Source organism: Homo sapiens, chromosome 8 (genome assembly GCF_000001405.40).
Source record: "Homo sapiens chromosome 8, GRCh38.p14 Primary Assembly".
NCBI classification, from domain to species: domain Eukaryota; kingdom Metazoa; phylum Chordata; class Mammalia; order Primates; family Hominidae; genus Homo; species Homo sapiens.
The window spans coordinates 80,535,014-80,548,430 of NC_000008.11; the positions used below are offsets into that span (position 1 = coordinate 80,535,014).

Here is a 13,417-nt window from a genome sequence, read left to right on the forward strand (position 1 = left end):
AGGATCTTCCTAAAAGCTCTTTCTGATGCACTTTTTTTTCTTTTTTTTTTTGAGACGGAGTTTCGCTCTTGTTACCCAGGCTGGAATGCAGTGGCACAATCTCGGCTCACTGCAACCTCTGCCTCCTAGGTTCAAGCGATTCTCCTGCCTCAGCCTCCCGATTAGCTGGGATTACAGGCATGCGCCACCACGCCTGACTAATTTTGTATTTTTAGTAGAGACGGGGTTTCTCCAGGTTGGTCAGGCTGGTCTCGAACTCCCGACCTCAGGTGATCCGCCTGCCTCAGCCTCCCAAAGTGCTGGGATTACAGGCGTGAGCCCGTATCAGAGGCGCCTGGCCTCTGATGCACTCTTGAGTATTTTTGTAAAATTAGAGATTGTTGGACAGTGCTAAGGAGAATGAATTATAGTGATTGGGTCCAGTGACACTTGGATAGTGCTACTAAGTATGAAATTATTTTAAGAGAGTTTAAAGAACGACCTCCTGCTGATGAGAGTGTTGGAAAGTTGGTTGCTGTGTAAGGTCAGCTACACATGCCTCCTGGTTTTTGCTTTTGTTGAATAAGAGAAAAGAGAGTAGCCAATTGTAAGTGGTCGTATTCCTAGTTGATCAGGGCTTGCTAAAAAAAAGACAGTCGAAGCCGTTGATTCCATTACCGTACATATAAGAGTTTTAACCAGGATTAGTAGCCCACATGAAGTAGAAATAGAAAGGCCAACCAAAGAACTAGTGATTCTAAGGTAAAATTTCCAGAAATGTGGAAAAGAACACTTGAGATTGGAGATGGTACCAGTTTTATATAAATGGTGATTGATAGCTGTTAAGGTTTGATGAGAAAGGTTCACGTATGTCTGTTTCTTTCACAAGTTTGTTCCCCTGATACTTCTTTCTTTTTTTTTTCTGAGACAGTCTCGCTGTGTCACCCAGGCTAGAGTGCAGTGGCACAATCTCGGCTCACTGCAACCTCCACCTCCTGGGTTCAAGGGATTCTCCTGCCTCAGCCTCCCAAGTAGCTGGGACTACAGGCGCCCACCATCATGCCCAGCTAATTTTTGTATTTTTAGTAGAGACGGGGTTTCACTATGTTGGCCAGGCTGGTCTTGAACTCCTGACCTCGTGATCTGCCCGCCTCAGCCTCCCAAAGTGCTGGGATTACAGGCATGAGCCACTGCACCCGGCCTGTTCCCCTGATATTTCTAAGTCACTGTTTATTAAAGCATGTAAGCCTAAGCATAAAAGTTAATTTTTTTTTTAAGAGACAGGGTCTTGCTCTGTCACCTAGACTATAGTGCAGTGGCGCCATCACAGCTCACTGCAGCCTCAAACTCCTGAGCTCAAGCGATCCTCCAGCCTTAGCCTGTGAGTAGCTGGAACTATAGGCACACACCATCATGTCCAGCTAAGTTTTTTTAGTTTTTTAGGGGTTTCTTTGTGTGTGTGCTTTTTTGTTTCGTTTTGCTTTGAGACAGGGTCTCCCTCTGTCCCTCAGGCTGGAGTGCATTGGCATGATTGCAGCTCACTGCAGCCTCAACCTCCCAGGCTCAATCAATCCTCCCACCACAGCCTTGTGAGTAGCTAGGACTACAGATGTGCACTACCACACCTGACTAATTTTTGGATTTTTAGTAGAGACAGGTTTTCGCCACGTGGCCCCAGCTGGTCTTGGACTCCTGGGCTCAACCTATCCACCGGCCTTGGCCTCCTAAAGTGCTGGGATTACAGATGTGAGCCACCGTGCCTGGCCAAAGTTATTATTATTTTTTTAAAGTAAACATGTACTGCAGTTACCTGATGCTACCACATATTAACTGCATGAAAAATATTCCATAGAAGTAGAAAGTCCTTTTGACTGTGAACTTACAAACATGTGAATGGAAACTATTATGAGCTATAAATTGAATATAATTATTTTTTTCTTAATGACTTTGCAGAAGGGATCTGATACAAGCTTAATATGAAAACTAAAAACTGCCACTTTTAGCAACTGAAGCTAAAATATTGTAAGATCAGAATACTCCCATCTTGTGGACTGATAGAAGGCTATTTATTACAATTTTGGGGAAAAAAATTTCTTTTTTTAATGTCTTGAGTCAATTCGAAAAAGTGTGGTTTTTTTAAAAAAAATTTTAATAGAAATAAAAGTCATAAAGTTTTTCCTTAAAAACTTACTGTTATTAAAACTTCTGGCCCATAATTGATTTGTTGGATAATAGTCATTAGTATAGTGCTATTATAGCATTTGCCATCAAAATGCCATTTATATGGCCAATACACATAAAAATTATCCAATGAAACTATTTCTCAAATATAAATTAAAACTAGAAAATGGATAATTTTTTAAAACTATACTACTATCAATTTGCAACTGTAAGACTAGATAAGATTTGACATTATTGGGAGAGCCTCTCTGGAAAGCAATTTGGTAATACATTTCAAGAGTCATTAAAAACCGGTCATAACCAGGTATGGTAATGCACACCTGTAGTGCCAGCTACTGGGTAGGTTGAGGCAAGAGAATCACTTGAGCCTCAGAGTTCAAATCCAGCCTGGGCAATATAGTGAGACCTTGTCTCAAAAAAAAAAAAGTTTAAAAACTTGATGACTTAAAAATGTACTCCTAGAAAACTATCCCAAAGCAGAGATGACTTTCATAAAAGGATGTTTTTCAAAAGGTAATTTATAAGCCACAAAAAAACCCCTTGTTTCCAATATGTATATTGGAAGAAATATGGGAAGAAATAAGTTATGATAGATCCTCATATTATAATTAGGTGCCCATTGATGATAATATTTTCAAAGAAAGATAATATATTATCTTGTTTGAATATTAAGGAAAAACTAGTCAAACACCATAGTATGCTTTCAATTTTGTATAAAAGATAAAAGAAACCCATCAGGGCCAGGCATGGTGGCTCAAGCCTGTAATCCCAGCACTTTGGGAGGCTGAGGCAGGCAGATCACTTGAGTTTAGGAGTTTGAGACCAGCCTGGCTAACATGGTGAAACCCTGTCTCTACTAAAAATACAAAAATCAGCCAGGCCTGGTGGCGCACGCCTGTAATCCCAACTACTTGGGAGGCTGAGGCAGTAGAATCGCCTGAACCCGGGAGGCAGAGGTTGCAGTGAGCCGAGATTCATGCCACTGTACTCCAGCCTGGGCAACAGCATGGGACTCTGTCTCAAAAAGAAAAGAAGCATATGAAAATATAGAAAGGTATGACTAAATAAAGAAGAAAAGTGAAAAAATCATCCATAATCGCACCACTTAGAGATAGTAATTGTTAACATTTTATTGTGTATTCTCCCAAATAATTTTTATGCATGTGTAGCTCTATGCAGGACTGGTTTTCAAGCACGCTAATAAATAGCCATGTCAGGTATTTATTTTTATTTTTTATTTGTATTTATTTTTGTGGGTTTTTTGAGACAGAGTCTCACTCTGTTGCCTAGGCTGGAGTGCACTGGCACGATCTCTGCTCACTGCTACCTCCACCTCCTGGGTTCAAGCAATTCTCCTGCCTCAGCCTCCCAAGTAGCTGGGATTACAGGTACCTACCAGCACGCCTGGCTAATTTTTGTATTTTTAGTAGAGATGGGGTTTCACCATGTTGGCCAGGCTAGTCTCGAACTCGTGACCTCAGGTGATCCACCCACTTCGGCCTCCCAAAGTGCTGGGATTACAGGTGTGAACCACCATGCCCGGCCATGTCAAGTATTTATAATCAGCAACTGTTCTGGTTGTTTAGTGTCCTTGCCTACTGGTGGTAAAATGTTAATTATCACCCTTTTCCTATCAACCTATTAATCAATCTATTTTTATACTTTTAAAAATGTGACCATTAGCCAGGCGTGGTGGCTCACACCTGTAATCCCAGCACTTTGGGAGGCCAAGGTGGGCGGATCACGAGATCAGGAGTTCAAGACCAGCCTGGCCAGCATGGTGAAACCCCGTCTCTACTAAAAATACAAAAAATTAGCAGGGCGTGGTAGTGGGTGCCTGTAATTCCAGCTACTTGGGAGGCTGAGGCAGGAGAATGGCTTGAACCTGGGAGGCGGAGCTTGCAGTGAGCCCAGACCGTGCCACTGTACTCCAGCCTGGGCGACACAGCAACACTTCATCTCAAAAAAAAAAAAAAAAAAGTGACCACATACTATGTTATCTGTCCTATAATCTGCCCTTTTTATATTTAACAATGTAGTAACATCTTTTGATGTTAATAAATACAAGTCTACTCCATTTTTAATAACTGCATTGAATTTGTGTGCTTAGGAAAGCCATCTTCATTTTAAAATTACTAAAATAGTTGAATATATTACTTTCCAGTTAAGGTTATCTCTAACTCAGTGGTCGTCAGCAAACTTATTCTGTAAAGGGCCAGACAGTACATATTTTTGGCTTTGTGGGCCATACAGTCTCCATCACAACTAATCAATTCTGCCATTGTAGTGGGAAGCAGCCGTAGACAGCCAATACCTAAACAATCCTTAAACTTAACTTCTGCACACTGAAATTTGAATTTCATACAATTTTACATGTTATGAAGTATCTTTTAATTTTTTTTTCCATTTAAAAGTATAAAATCATTTTCCCCTTTCTTTCCTCACCAGTCATACCAAAACAGGTGGCAGACTGCACTTGGCTCTCAGGCTGGAGTTTGCTGACCCCTCTAGCAGAATGCCTTCCTTCAAAGCTTTCATCTCCTGCTATGAAGTCTCTCAGTGTCACACCTAAGTTTCCTTCAGTTAGATGCTAACCTTCTTGGAATATATTCTTTTGATGGTACAGAGATGCCCTGGGTTGTAAAGCAAAAAATCACACCTCTGACTTAGCTTGTGTTTTTGTCACACGTTTCTGATCCAAAACATAAAATGATAAAATTCAGAGGTTGGAAGAACAACTTCATTTCTATTTTAGAAAACACAATCATTTGAACATGTTTACTGAAAGCACTGATATGTTTTATAAATTCAGTTTTTCCTTTCTTTTCTTGTAAAACTTTCTCATTGCTTTTACACCTTTACTAAGAAAAAATTGCCTTGATATTGAAGAGGGAGACTTCCCTTACTGTTATCCTGTAAAAGCCATATTTCCCACACTGCATTATATACTCTCTTTTATTATTATTATTATTTTTTGGAGATGGAGTCGACTCGCTCAGTCACCCAGGCTGGAGTGCAATGGCACGATCTCGGCTCACTGAAACCTCCGACTCCCGGGTTCAAGCGATTCTCCCGCCTCAGCCTCCCGAGTAGCTGGGATTACAGGCACCCACCATCATGCCTGGCTAATTTGTATTTTTGTAGAGACAGGGTTTCATCTTGTTGGCCAGGCTGGTCTTGAACTCCTGACCTCAGGTGATCTGCCTGCCTCAGCCTCCCAAAGTGCTGGGATTACAGGCGTGAGCCACCGCGCCGGGCCTATATACTCCTTTTTTAAAAAAATAATTTGTACTGCTTAAGTACTGCAGATTTTTTTCTTAATTGACTGCCACCAAGGGTTATTGAATATCAAGTATTCTTCTAAGGGCTCAAGGTGCTGCATTATCTCATGTAGTTATCCTTGTGTCACGTGTCAGCTTTGTGTGGTAGGTACTTATATTTATTTTAGTTTATAAAAAAAATGACTCAGAAAGGTACATAACCTGCCTAAGATCACTCAGCTAGCAAGTGCAGGATGGAATTTTTATTTTTATTTTTTTGAGATGGAGTTTTGCTATGTCATCCATGCTGGAGTGCAGTGGCACGATCTCAGCTCACTGCAACCTCCGCCTCCAGGGTTCAAGTAATTCTCCTGCCTCAGACTCCCCAGTAGCTAGGATTACTGGTGCCCACCACCACACCTGGCTAATTTTTGTATATTTAGTAGAAACGGGTTTTCACCATGTTGGCCAGGCTGGTCTCGAATTCCTGACCTCAAGTGATCTGCCCACCTCGGCCTCCCAAAGTGCTAGGATTAACAGGCATAAGCCACCCCCCGCGCTTGGCCTAGGATGGAAATTCAAACCTAGATTTGTGAATCTTCAAAGATCACCAATGCTCTTGAGCAGTGCTAGCCTGCATCTCTGTGATTTGCCATTCTGAGGAAGTGCAATTTCTGGTATTCAATAAGAACCTTGTGAAATGTTATTTTGATGTAATTGCAAAGGCTTGTCTCGACAATATCCATTTCCCATCCAAAAACCAATTACAAATTGGTTGGCCAGCATGATTAAAGGCTCAGAATGAATTAAGCCCCAAAACCTAATTATGTTCAAAAAACGCTGCAGTAGACAGAGGCATGTCTTTTTATCTACCTACTTTCTGCTGTATAGGTTATTTTTTTGCATAGTCAAATCATGTTTGTTTTCTTCATAATTTCTGCTTTTGGTGTCTTTTATAGAAAGGACTTCCCCAATCCAAAATTATTAAAGTGATCATCTGTTTTCCTTTCAGTATTTCCCTTGAAGTAAACCAATCTCCAAGCTGTTTGTAAGATTGTTTGGCAATTTATTTAGAAGAAATCTATGTCAGAGGATCCAAATTTAATATGCTTTTGCTTTGATTTCAGTACCAAAAAGTTAGATAATTTTGCTATGACATTATCTTCTCCCTTACAAGTTTTGATATCTGAATTTATAATGTTCAAACTTAAGCCCACTTTTCAACAGATTCAGTTACCTTTGAAACTGTGTATCATGTTTATTAATTGAAGAGAAGCCCATGAGCTGTAGAAGAAAGCTCCTATTACTAGGGATTAGTTAGGTATTACTATCTAAATAACTAGCTCACCATCATAAATGATTTCTTAAATGGTGTCTTATTAATTCCCCATGAGAGAGATAATTTAATTCAGAAATTGCCTGTTGCATAGCCTATCTGCGCACTTGTGACCCACAAATGGATGATCTATATGTTGCTTTGTGGAACAACTGGATAAAATTTCAATCTTCTAAAAGACTCACTAAATAAATTTTTTATCTGGTCATATAATTGAGAGTTATAGTCCACCAAATGAGCTCTATTGGTTTACAGCTGGGAATTGGCCATAAAAACTTCATAATATCTTTTAAAAAAATATTTTCTATCTGATTCCACAGAGATATTTTGGTCTGCAGCCTTTATTTTCTGCTCCTTTCTTTTCTGCTTTTCTACTGAGTAGCTTGTGAATTTACTTTCACTTACATTTCTTGCTATGAGTTTTCTGATTAGAAATGTAAAGCCATAAGATTTTAAATTTAAGTGGTTAGAAAAAGCAGTGTACAAAATTGACAGAGGTTATAAATGTTGTGAACAAGAAGAGAAGTATATATTCACAGAAAGAAACCTGGACAGATCATAATGTTTGCAGTGATTATTCCTGAGTGGTGGGAGCATGGATGATTTTCAGTTTCTTTGTATTTTGGTTATTTTCAAATGTTCAGCAATGAGCTCAATTACTTTTACATAATTACAGAATATTTGGAGTCAAACATTCACCTATTTCCCTTTTACTAAAACTTATTGGAATTAACATCATTTGATATAGTGACTATTTCTGAGTTAAGAAAACATAATTAAGACCGCAAAATTACAATAATTATTAAGCCACTGGCTTATTCCATAGCACTGTATAAACACAGCATAGAATAAGAAGATGAAGATCCCAGAATGTGGAAACAAAAAGCTGACAAGTGATTGAGGAATGGTGAGAAGACACAGGTTCTGAGGACTGCTGGACAGCCTTTCCTGTTTTTAAAGAAAAGCTCTCTTATCATGAGAGAAGAGTCATGAAAACCAAAAGGTTTCTGCATTTAATTCGTTATTTAGAGGGCTGAATTTATGCTTTGACTTACTCTTTGATTACAAGCACTGGTGGTTATATTTTATCTATTTTGTGGAAATGAGTTAGCACATGTAGAAAACTGCCCTGAAAGGGGCTGAAATGAAGCCATTAAGACCGAAGTGTACTTTTTAAAACTCCAAACGTCATGATTTATTTCTTGATCTTGGTGATACTTATATGGGTGTGTTCACTTTGTAAACATTCATCAAACTCTATACTTACCACTTGTGTACTTTTCTGTATGTGTGTTATACTTCAATTAAAAAGTTTACTTGAAAGAAAAAATCCCACCACAGCTCTGCTTCTGTCTTTTTGCAACGCACGGGTGGTAGCCACGGTGTTTGGTTCCCCAGAACATTTCCTTCTTACGCCCACCTTTGGATCTGGCCAATCGCAGCAGCTCATCTCCGGCGCTCCAGATTGGTGGGTATGTATCTGAAGCAGGGCCAATCAGCGTCCTTCCCTGGATCCCTTTGGGTTAAAGGAGGCGAGAATCAAGGTGGTGGAGTTGGTGTTGGTGTGTTAATCCCTGCACAGTATTGTGAGAAGGAAGGTTAGGTGTTTCTCCCAGCTGGTAAAGAGAAGCCGCAAGCTTTGCACAGGTTGACCTGTGATCTCTAAGTTGGATTTCTGAGTTCCTTGACACATGAGTCAGTTGCGGCAGCTAAACAAGGTGAATGGCTTTTTTTGGTCTGGATTAAATGACAGCTAAATTGAATTACTCTAAACCAGTGATTTTCAAAGAGGGCATCAGCATCACCTGAAACTTATTAGAAATGCACATCCTTGGGCCACACCCAGACCTGCTGGACCCACTGGTGATGGGTCAGGGGCGGGGCCCCAACAGTCTGTTGCAGCAGGCCCTCCAAGGGATTGCAATGTGCTCAAGTCTAAGAGCCGCTGCCCTAAGCTTGCAACACACATCCTCTTATATCGCTATACCACACATAATATCTCTACCATAAATTGACCTGTTGAGAATGTCTCTTTTTTTTTTTTTTTTTTTTTTTTGAGCTCCAACAATGTATGCAGAATCCTAGGTGGAGAAAAGACATACAAGAAGCCAAGGGAGGTTCTCCTTACCTTCAGGTGCGGGTAAAAGTAACAATAGGAAATTTAGTTAGTAGTGAAAGCATTGCAAGACAAGAATTCATCATGCTTTTAATTGTAAGACTATGATTAATTCCTGATTAATTACCAAGTAAATGATGTGGAGGAAGAGGGAGATAAGCTTTGTAGTTAAACACGACTGTAGAATCCTTCGTCCCTGGCCTCAGGCTTGCCGGAAGCTATTGTAGAAAGCTGGAGAAGCTTCCTCACGGTTTATGCACCTCTTCCCCAGTTTGTCATAGTGTGGGCAAGTAATTGATATATGTGGATTCTTTAATAACTTGCCAGTGCCCATTTACTAGTATTTCTACAGAATATGTATGTTCACAGAGGGAGTGCTTGCAATGTTGGACCTGAACGATGGCTGATGCATTTTTTTTTTCATCTGAGACTTTAAAAAGTAAGAATCAAAAAAAAAAAAAAAAAAAAAAAAAAAAAGGCCAGCATGGTGGCTCATGCCTGTAATCCCAGCACTTTGGGAGGCCGAGGCAGGCAGATCACCTGAGGCCAGCCTGGAGTTCGAGACCAGCCTGGCCAACATGGTGAAACCCCATTTCTACTAAAAATACAAAAATCTCAGGGCGTGGTGGCACACGCCTGTAAATCCAGCTACTCAGGAGGCCGAGGCCTAAGAATCGCTTGAACCTGGGAGGTGGAGGTTGCAGTGAGCCAAGATCGTCCCACTGCGCTCCAGCCTGGGCGACAGAGCAAGACTCTGCCTCAAAATAAATAAATAATAATAATAATAAAATAAAAAGTGAGAATCACTGTCATTATCTTCTATAGTTTGACCCCCATGCAGCTTTCCCTGGACTGGATGCCTCCGTTTTTCTGGCCTGAACCTCTCCAGATAGAACGAGTAAGGAGGGGGCTTCAGGCTCTGCATAATACCTAAGACTCTGGAGAAGGGGAAAGTGAGCAGAGGGAAGCTGGGGGAAGGGAGGTGGTGAGGATCCAAGCAAAGGAGTGGAAATTGGGCCTGGCAACTTGCTTTCCACCTTTCCTCCCCTGCCCTTTCTACCAGGTCAGATCCTCCTCCTGTTTACTATGGCATTCACATGTCAATAAAAATACTGCATCATGTAATATATAATGCACTTCAAGTGCCTGCTACAGTGCCTGGTATGTGACAGGTGCTTATTATTCTTAGCGTTATTATTTTACAGTAATAGTCATATATTTCTTTTCCTTTTCATCTATCTTTTTTTCTACTATTTAATTATCTGCATGGCAGACTGTCACTCTGAAGCCCTTTCTATCCCTCACACCAGTAGGACTATATATATATATATATATATATATATATATATATATATATATATTTATTTATTTTTTGAGACAAGAGTCTTACTCTGTCACCCAGGCTGGAGTGTGGTGGTGCGATCTCGGCTCACTGCAAGCTCTGCCTTCCGAGTTCACGCCATTCTCCTGCCTCAGCCTCCCGAGTAGCTGGGACTACAGGCTCCCACCACCACACCCGGCTAATTTTTTGTATTTTCAGTAGAGACAGGGTTTCACCGTGTTAGCCAGGATGGTCTCGATCTCCTGATCTCGTGATCCACCTGCCTGGGCCTCCCAAAGTGCTGGCATTACAGGCGTGAGCCACTGCGCCCAGCCTTTTATAGTTCTTTCTTTTTTTTTTTTTTTTTTTGACCAGTAGGACAATATTAATCACACTCTTCTTCTGTGTGGCCACTTATATTACATTATGTTATGTTACATTATATTTTGTTGTGTCTGCATTTCCTTCTTAACTGTGAACTCCTTAAATGACAGGGCCTAGGTTTCATTTTACACATGTTCGCATCTTCAGGGCAAGCACAGCACCTGGTACTTATTAAATGTGTGTTAAATTAATATTGGATAAATTGAGTCACAGAGAAAAGGGGACATCTGAAAACCACATGCTTTACTTTGAGACTACTATCTATTGACATAGTATATGCCCACCTATTGCCCCGTCCTTGGGTTTCCACAAGCTGCCTCTTTTGTATTATCTTTCATAGATTTCACTGTCTTTCTTATTGCTTCTGAATTTTTAGCAACTATTTCCTTTCGTGAAATATCTTGAGTTGCAATTTATTCCAATGTTGTCAGCTTTGCCACATTATCCATTAAGAGCATTTTTCTTTCTTGTTGGAATCTAAATCATTGTTAGCTATCATTTATTGAGCCCTTGCTATTTACTAAACAAATGTGTATTGAGTATCTACTATGCCAAGTACTAGTCTAGGTACATTATGAAATAAAAGAGACAAAAAGCTGTGCTCCATGTCTGGTGATAGGCCGTGTGTTTTCTATGTATGTCATCTCATTAAATCACATGTTGTGAAAATGAAATTTTTCAACTCTCATGGCAAGCCTCAATCTAGAGAACTGGGAAATATTTCTAATTTACATTCATTAATCTCTTTTATCTTAAGTGACAGACCATCAAAGTATCACTAACTATGCCATATTCTATATTTTATAAAATTTACCAAGTTTCCTTTGAAGCTCAAAGCCCGTTATTGTTTAATATTGAGCATTAAAATTGCATCCTAACCCATGGACTACGTGCATCTCTGGATGTTTATTAGGTGAGGTTAATAATTGCGCTTTGTACTCAGGCAACTTGGATAAGACCATTAAACTCCTGTGTGCCTGGGTTATTATAATTATTACTATTATTAGGATGAACCACATGGCCCAGAAATTTGAAACACTCAGTTTGATTTGTAATCCCTGTTGCAACTAGGGAGTATTGAAGAGTAATTAAGAGATAGTTTATCTAGCTTTCTTGCTGAAATAAGATTTTTCAAAACACACAAAATTGTTTTACTGTGGTTAAAAAAATACATAACCTAAAATTTACCATCTTAACCATTTTTAAGTGTGCAGTTTAGTAATGTTAAGTATATTCACATTGCCGAGAAACAGATCTCCAGAACTTTTTCTTCCTGTGAATCTGAAACTTTGTCCCTATTGAACAACGACTTCCTTTTTCCACCTCCTTGAAAAAGCCCTATCTTTATAGGGCTTCCATGGACAATGTTTGCAGAGTTCAATCCTTTTTCTCAAAGAGGTCTCTGAAAGCACAAGAAGAAAATAATAAGGCCAAAAAGAATTGGTGTCTGTGTTTTCCTTGAGGCATTTTACCCTATCCCGCTGTCAAAATTGCTGGCTGTCAGGAAGCTCCCTGAGTAGCATCAGGTCTTTAACAGATGACTCTGGCCCTGAGTGGTGCCAGGGAGTCAGAATGTATCTTAGTCTGCTTTGTGCTGTATACCAGAGACTGGATAATTTATAAAGAAAAGAAATGTGTTTCTCACAGTTCTGGAGGTTGAGAAGTTCAAGGTTGAGTGGCCAGCATCTAGGGAGGGCCTTCTGCATCATAGCATGTCAGAGGGCATCACAAGTTGAGAGAGAGCAGGGGGGTCGAACTGGCTTTTATTATAAGCCCCTCTTTCGATAACAAGCCACTCCTGTGATGGCAACATTCATCCATTCATGAGGCCAGAATTCTCATGGCCTAATCACTTCTTTCTTTCTTTCTTTCTTCTTCTTTGAGCCAAAGTCTCACTCTGTTGCCCAGGCTGGAGTGCAGTGGCAGCAATCTCAGCTCACTGCAACCTCCGCCTCCTGGGTTCCAGCAATTCTTCTGCCTCAGCCTCCCGAGTAGCTGGGATTACAGGCGTGTGCCACTGCACCTGGCTAATTTTTGTACTTTTAGTAGAGACATGGTTTCGCCACATTGGCCAGGCTGGTCTGCTGACCTCAAGTGATCCGCCCACCTCAGCCTCCCAGAGTGCTGGGATTACAGGCATGAGCCACTGCACCCAGCCTCTAATCACCTCTTAAGTGGCCCCCATCTCAACACTGTTGCATTGGGGATTAAGTTTCCAACACATGAACTTTGGGGGACACATTCAAGCCATAGCAGAATGCCTTTTGCTTGTTTGTTCTGGGAGGACTTCTAGAAATAGGATCTAGGAGATAAAAAGGCCATATAGCTGTGGGCTTCTCCCCCACCCCCAGTGCTGGCATTCTCCTACTCACAGCTCAGATAATGATCACGTGGCCTGCACTTAAATACCTCCAATGATGGGCCTCTCACTGCACCTGAGGCCAATGTTCCCTCATCTTCCCTTTATGATTACTACGATTGTGAGAAAACTTCACGAAACTGGCCTCTTAGGTACTTGAAAGTATTTAGAGTTACCTTTCTGGTCTGGTTCCTTGTCTTTTCTGCTTCAAGCTGCTTTCTTTCTTCTTCTTTTAGGAGACAGGGTCTCTGTCACCCTGGCTGGAGTGCATTGATAGGATCATGGCTCACTGCAGCCTTGAACTCCTGGGCTCAAGCGATTCTCCCACCTAAGCCTCCAGAGTAACTGGGACCACAGGTATGCACCACCAAGCCCAGCTAATCTTTATATTTATTCTGTACAGATGGGGTCTTGCTATGTTGCTCAGGCTGGTCTTGAACTCCTGGACTCAAACAGCTTGCTGTAAGACAGAGCCTGAAAG

The 13,417-nt window shown here is 40.7% G+C and overlaps 1 long non-coding RNA gene across 1 annotated transcript; it reads left to right on the forward strand.

Annotated features, from left to right (window-relative positions):
* Window positions 1-4,633: 4,633 nt before the first annotated feature.
* On the forward strand, window positions 4,634-8,086 carry LINC02986 (long intergenic non-protein coding RNA 2986). The gene has a single exon (NR_186600.1). It is a non-coding gene; the product is annotated as a long intergenic non-protein coding RNA 2986 (long non-coding RNA).
* Window positions 8,087-13,417: the final 5,331 nt, after the last annotated feature.